This window comes from Homo sapiens, chromosome 10 (genome assembly GCF_000001405.40).
Source record: "Homo sapiens chromosome 10, GRCh38.p14 Primary Assembly".
Lineage (NCBI taxonomy): Eukaryota > Metazoa > Chordata > Mammalia > Primates > Hominidae > Homo > Homo sapiens.
Window position 1 is genome coordinate 125,539,787 of NC_000010.11, and position 7,569 is coordinate 125,547,355.

The 7,569-nt window shown below is 47.8% G+C and overlaps 1 annotated feature.

Annotated features, from left to right (window-relative positions):
• Positions 5,416-5,916: an enhancer, noted in NCBI's record as "H3K27ac hESC enhancer chr10:127233771-127234271 (GRCh37/hg19 assembly coordinates)". NCBI's record gives its function as "activates a minimal SCP1, AML or CMV promoter by ChIP-STARR-seq in primed H9 embryonic stem cells {active_cell/tissue: H9 hESC(primed)}" and the evidence as "EXISTENCE:reporter gene assay evidence [ECO:0000049][PMID:30033119]".

The following is a 7,569-nucleotide window of genomic DNA, read 5'->3' on the forward strand; positions in this document are numbered from 1 at the left end:
TTTCCACATCTGCTAAATGGGGAAACAAATGCCCACCTTGCCTACTTCACAAGAATGTGAAACCACGCAAAACAGAGGCCTTATGACTGCATGAGATGCAATCATAACTGAGGCAAACGTTATGCATTCCTCCTGTAGTGTTCTTTTAAAGAGGTGTTCACGTCTAATATGTATTTTAACAGGTTTGGAAGGGTTTAATAAATATTATTTTCCACTTCCCAGAGTAGAAAACTGAGGTGTGTTGAGAGTAAGTGACTCTTGAAGGTCATGGAGTGGAACCCTGGTCTCCTGGTTCTCAGCAGTTCCCTCTGGACCTCACTGTCCACCAAGTGGAAGGAGAATAGGGGGCCTGAATATCTTTCCAGGGCATTGTTTTCACATCAGTTTACATCGGTAGGTCAGTTCCAGCTGCGCCTCGGTGAGCTGGGACTCCACTTGTACGACTGTAGGCTTCTCACCTGAGGAAGTCCTTCAAAGTCCACGCTTCATCTTTTTCAGTCCGTAGAGCTCTGGATGGGGAGGCTGGGTCATTTGCAGAGGCTCAGACTGGGAGTATAGCGTGAGTCCTGGAATGGCAGAAGCCCTACAGCACAGACGCCAGATCTGTCCGTCGGCAGAACTGGGTTTTACTGGCTGAGTAACTTAACCTCTCCAAATCTCAATTTCTTCACAAATGAAGGGGACCAAGTCATGCTGTGTGTGGCTCTGGGGCTCAAACCATTCTCTGTATGTAAAGTATCAGACCCAGTGCCTGGCTCTGAGTCGGTAGAAGTGCTATTCTTCCTTCTTTCCTTCACACCATCTCTTCCTTTCCTTTTTCTTTTTTTTTTTTTTCTGTCACCCAGACCGGAGTGTAGTGGCGCGATCTCGGCTCACTGCAACCTCCACCTCCCGGGTTCAAGCGATTCTTCTGCCTCAGCCTCCCAAGTAGCTGGGACTACAAGCACGTGCCACCATGCCCAGCTAATTTTTGTGTTTTGAGTAGAGACGGGGTTTCACCATGTTAGCCAGGATGGTCTCGATCTCCTGACCTCGTGATCCACCCGGCTCAGCCTCCCAAAGTGCTAGGATTACAGGCATGAGCCACCATGCCCGGTCCTCCTTTCCTTTCTTTCATTCCCTTTTTCTTTTTTCCCTAGGGATCTTGGAAATATCTCAAATATAAACCAGAATATCTTAAACTTGAGGATGTGTTGAGCAGATATGTGACTGCAACGCCAGTGATCCAGTAGATAAAATGGGAAAGCAGAGTCCATCCCCTAGAGCTTGGGAGGGGCCAAGCTGGTCTCTGAGGATGGTGAAAAGCAAGAGGGAGGTGACCGTTCACTTGGTCCAGTGCGCTCCACTCCAATATTCACTAACGGGAACACGGCTCCTCAGGTGCTGGGGAGGGAAGTAATCTCAGAAGCACTGAACACTGCTCCTACTTTTCCAAGATAATCATGTGTGGCCTGGGCAGGTCCTCAGGCCCCGTGAGGTCCAGCCTCAGCAGAGTGTCACATCAGAAACTTTCAAGCAACAACAAATGACACCAAGAATCTCAGTCTCCTTTGGAAGAATATCGGAGGCAATCCAAATTATAATATCTAGAAACACTTCTTTAAAAACCCCTTTTCCAAAAGAAATAATTCCATCAAAAAGTGGACTAAGGACCTGAATAGAATAGCCAAAAAACATATGAAAAAATGCTCAACATCATTAATGATCAGGGAAATGCAAATCAAAAACCACAATGTGATACCACCTTACTCCTGCAAGAAGGGCCATCATTTAAAAAAAAAAAAAAAGACGTTGGCATGGATGTGGTGAACAGGAAACACTTCTACACTGCTAGTGGAAATGTAAACTAGTACAACCGCTATGGAAAACAGTGTGGAGATTCCTTAAAGAACTAAAAGTAGATCTACCATTTCATCCAGCAATCCCACTACCGGGTATCTACCCAGAGGAGAAGAAGTCACTATATGAAAAAGATACTTGCACACACATGTTTATAGCAGCATAATTTGCAATTGCAAAAATATGGAACCAGCCCAAATGCCCATCAACCAACAAGTGGATAAAGAAAATGTGATATATATATATGTATAGCTATATAGATATATACACACACACACACGGCATGGAATACTACTCAGCCATAAACAGGAATGAAATAATGGCATTTGCAGCAACCTGGATGGAGCTGGAGACCATTATTCTAAGCGAAGTCACTCGGGAATGAAAAACCAAACATCATATGTTCTCACAAGTGAGGACATAAAGGCATAAGAATGATACTGGACTCTGGGGACTTGGAGAAAGGGTGGGAAGGAGGTGAGGGGTAAAAGACTACACATTGGGTACACTGTACACTGCTCGGGTGATGGCTGCACCAGAGTCTCACAAATCACCACTAAAGAACTTGTCCATGTAATCAAACACCACCTAGTTCCCCAAAACTATTGAAATAATAAATCAATAAAACTATTTTGCCTTCCTTTTTTTTCCTCCAGTTTTTACACAATTGCTACAGGAGCCCTCAAACTCTAAATACTTCACTGTCAACATTCTGCCCCCAAGAGTCCCAGAAGCCCCAGCCCGTGTACCTTCTAAGTCTCTCCCCAGCTTCCCTCTTCTCCCTCACCTCTCCAACCCTGCATCTCTCCACTCAGTCTTCCAGTGTTGTGTCTCAAAGTCTGGGAAGTATGTGGGGAAAGACAGAACTCTCCTCAGAGGACAGGAGAAGAGGAGATGGGCCAAGGAGAGATGGGGCCTGGGGGTGGCAGGTGACAGAGCAGGAATATCACCCTTGAGTGTCGCATTCCCATCCTCTGCCTGTGCACCAGCAAAGCTCCCCGAATGTGCTGGTCCGGAAAGCCAAGATGATGGAGCAGAAACAGGACTTGGCGTTCCCCTGGTATTCCTCTAGTGTTCCCCTGGTATTTCCCTAGTATTTCTCTGGGGAACGGCAGGCAAGGGTCTCGTGTGCATAGCCGGGCTGCAGAGAGATCCCTGGGACTACGTAGATAGACACAAATTCTTTTAAATCCCTTCCTTTTGGATAAAAGTACTAGGTGATTTTAAAATGATCTGTGTAACCAGGAATACATTTTGTAAATTTCTCTAAGACTTACATACTAGGTTTCCGTCCCAAAGACATTTTTATATGTCCCCGAATAGAATAAAGTTAACTCAAGGCTTATCATATTCCAGGCTATAAGGGAGCCGCTCATCTCCTGGATGACTTGTCATCTCACCTGGTTCTATGCCATGTGCTTGACAACATCAGTGCCTTTCCAAACCGTTGCCTTCGGCTTGGTTTTACTGCCTTGCATTGTTGCACTTCCTATCACTGAGCTTAGCTGCAAGAACAGAACAGTGGCTTGTAACGTCCCTGTGCCTTTATTCAGTTTAATAGTCAATGAGCCTAGATACAAGGGATCCCTTCTGAAGGGCAGGAGGATATTATGGGCACTACTGAATATTTTTAGAGTGGGTGGGTTTTTTTGTTTTTTTCTTTTTTGGGTTGTTTTGTTTGTTTTGTTTTGTTTTGTTTTTTGGAATGCGGACTTTTTGATACAGGCTGAGCATCCCAAATCTGAAATCTGCAATGCTCCAAAATCTGAAACTTTTTGAGCACCGACATCACACTCAAAGGAAATGCTCACTGGAGCATTTTGGGTTTCAGATCTTAGGACTGGGGATGTTCAACCAATAAGTATAACGCAAATATTCCAAAATTGGAAAAAAATCAAATTCTAAAACGCTTCCGGTTCCAAGCATTTCAGAGAAGGAATATTCTGCTTGTACTAACTATGCCACGTAAGTAACATTGTGTATTAAGTGTGTGTGCATGTGTGTGTGAGAGCAGGTGCGCATGTGTGTGTATGTGGGCGTGTTTCAATTGGCTGGAAGAACAAGGTTGGTAAGCCAGCCTTTTAAGCTCACCAAGTTGCTGCTTTTTCACCAACACAGTTACTACTAGCAGTGACATCTGCCATTGCTGGGGCACTTTGTTTTAAACTACTTGACCTGCATTACCTTATTTGATTTCCACAAAAGCCCTGAGGTCTTTCTGCTGATGTTCTCCTTTGCAGGAAGTTGCTGTGTTTAACGTGGCGGCCTACAGAGGAGGAGGCTGTACCTCATGGTCCGGGGAGACGGTGCTCTCAAAAGTTCCAGGCAAGCTACCAACTTTCCCTGCCGGAAGGCGTGTGGTACACTGTGGCTCTGCCATATTCCAGTCAGGCAGCTGCTGTGACCCTGAACTGTCCCTGGTCCCTCTGCCCTGTTTCTTCCCTGAGAATTGTGGGTTTTAAACTAGATCCTGGCGTGTTACAGCCAGAAGTGACTTTAAGGCTCACTCAGCCCAAAGCCCAGGAGATCACATGACTTGCCCAAGGTCACGCTGAGGGTCGGTGACGAGGCTGGGACTGGACCCCCAGCCTCCTGGTTCCCATTGCCCTGGGGGTCTTCGTGTCCTCAACACACAAGGCACCTTTTCAAAGGAACTCATACGCACACCTCTGGAAATGCAAGCATCACCCTTTCCTAAGGGTCCCCACCTCTGCACTGGAGACATCGTGCTTTCTAAGAATGAGGCAGTTTTGTTTTAAGTACTGACTCTGGAGAGTGTGGGGGGTTTTTGTCCCCTCTCTGTATCTGTTCCCCCCTAAATCAGCCTGGCCAAGCTAATAGGAAACCTCGGCTTATAACGCCCTGTGCCCCTCCTGCCCCATGGAGCTCCAGGACAGTTCACCCCAGAGAGATGTGGGCTGTCTTCAGCTCCCAGGGCCTGGCTGTGCACCTCCTGCTGCAGATGGTCTCATCCCTAGCAGGGCTGCACCCAGGAGGAAGAGGGGGAGCTGTGCCCCAGGGTTCTCTCATCCTGAACAGCTCTGTTTGGATGGCGGAAGAGCCATCGTGAGAGTGCCACAATCTCTTCTGGCTGGTATTTCTTAAACATCTTCACATCTGTCCAGTTCCCCGCTCCCCAGCCTGGAAACCTGGAATCCTGCTGAGTGGTGTCTGGTCCCCACTTCTCCCCACGCCAGTCCGCAGCCACAGGACTCTTGCTAGCCATGCTCCTCTCCTGCTAACGGCCCATCCATAGCATCAGCCGCAAACCTGAAGGCTCCCCACACTCGGTGGGGTCTTTGCTCCTCCTTCCGCCTTGCACCCGGCTGCTCCGTCTCACAGGTATGAGGGTGTCCTTCTGAAAGGCAGTAGTAGGATATTATTAGTACGAATACAGGAGTACCATGCCACCTGCATTGCTCAAGCCAGACTGGGCCTTCCTAGGACAGGCCGTGACATGCTGTTCCCTGTGACTAGGACACTGTTCCTTCACTCTTCTTCACCCAGCCACAGCCAACACACCTTAGGCAACAGCTCCTCCAGGAAGCCTACCTGACCACTCTCATCCCATCCCTGCCCCAAGTTGTCCACATAGGGAACCCCTCCTTTGTGCCAACACCTGTTGGCTGTCTCCAGTGTGCTGGGCACCGGGGATGCAAAGGCACACAAGACATGGCCCCTGCCTGCAGGGAGCACACAGTCTACTGCCCAGGAGCCAGATATGGGAGAAAACAGGACGGTCCTGCTTCCAGAGCTTTCTGTGCCTGTGCTGTCTCTCTGTGTTGTTTTTTTAGTCTCTCCCACTGTGCACTCGTGGCACCCTGGGGAGGGTCTTAGCCCTGTTTGTATCCTTACACCGAGCACCATTTCTAGTATAAATTACCCTATGCCCTCGATGAACGCACAAGGGCTGAATCAACAAATGGGCTTAACTGTGGGTTCCCTGCAGGTTAGTGCCACCATTGTCCTCTTTAAGAGGTTGCTGCTGTCCCTGTCATGCATATGTGTTGAAAGAAGAAATCCCTTATTTAGAGTTCCCTGAGCAAATGCTCTGGGGAGAAACCAAGGGGGGCTGTCTTCTGAATAGATGCCTGTTGAAATACATGCCTTCTGCTAGTGAGCACTTTTCTTGCAAACTTGAGTCTTAGGTTAGGTTCCTTCAAGACAAGAATTCCTGTGCAAGAGATTTGTGAAGGAAATGCTCCTGGGACACAGGTGGGAGTGGGGGCAGGGAAAGGGAAGAAGCCACACCAGGGTGCAATTTTAGGAAAGCTCTTGGCCTCAGCCTGCTCCTGTGGGGAGCCTGAAGCATGAGTTACACCTCAGTCTTGAGGCTAGCACTGGGTATCATTGTCCTGCACCCAGTTATTGGCTCTGAGCCCCAGGGAAACACAATCTGTCAGGCCTTTTGGGCTCCTGGACCTGTGGGCAAAGTGATTTTAGTAGCCCTTGAACGGGCCTCCAAAGGGGCCACAGGTACAGGGGTGGGCAGGAGAGACAACAGCTGGGGGCCTGAGAGGGGTACAACAGTGTCCTCTACAGCTTGTGGGGACAAGACCAAAGAGCCCTGGGGGTAAGGGAGCCCCTTTTTCTATTTTACTTCAGGGTCTGCGTTTAACTGACAATCACTCAGCAGGAGCCTGGTCTGCAGCTGTGTCCTCCTGCTTGGATGATGCAAAATAATGCCCCGGGCATGGCCTAAAACCCAAAGGTGGGGCTCTTTTGTCCAGTGCTAAGAGAGACTCGACTCTCAGCTTCAAGTTCTTTGCTGAGGTGAACATTATTTATCATGCTGTATTGGGTGGGAGCAGACAGTAACCCTGTACCTCATCTTGAAGGACAGAGAAAGATCTTTCTCAAGATCAAAGCATGTCCCTCAGATGTCTGGCAAATGAGTGGAGATTATAAATGAGAAGGTAGCCGACCAGGCACAGTGGCTCATGCCTGTAATCCTAGCACTTTGGGAGGCCGAGGCCGTTGGATCACCCAAGGTCAGGAGTTCGAGACCAGCCTGGCAAACATGGCAAAACCCCATCTCTACTAAAAATAGAAAAAATTAGCCAGGTATGGTTGCATGTGCCTGTAATCCCAGCTACTCAAGAGGCTGAGGGAGGAGAATCCCTTGAACCTAGGAGGTGGAGGTTGCAATAAGCCAAGACTGTGCCATTGCACTCCAGCCTGGGCAAAAGAACAAGACTTGTTTTTTTAAAAAAAAAAAAAAAAAGCAGGTAGCCAAGGATGCCTCAGGAGCTGAGTGCGGAGAGATCAGAACATGTGTTCCATCTTTGTCATGAGTTTATTTCTAGAAAAAGATTATTGTTTAAAACAATCATTAAAAGCTATCATAGATGCCATGGCCAAAATATTTTCGTAGGACATACTGTTACCACCTCACTGCCTACTGCCTCCAATTCTTAGGCGTAATTTTTTTTTTTTCAGAGAAATGAAAACTAATGTTAGAAAGAAGCACTTGGGGAACGATACCACTTAACTGATTTTATAATTGTTTACAGCAGACGCTGCCTTGGTGGAAAGTTTGGAGGGGAAAAGGGAGCCTCCCAAGGTCTTTATAAAAGGTAGCAGCGCCCCCTGACACAGAGCAGAAGGGGAACCACAATGAAGAGCATCAAACTCAGGAGGAAAAAAGGGTGGCTGGAGAGGGTGAGGGGAGGCAGAGAATGCATAAAAAGATATTATTCCCACTACTGCTGATTACAGAGATCAACCAAA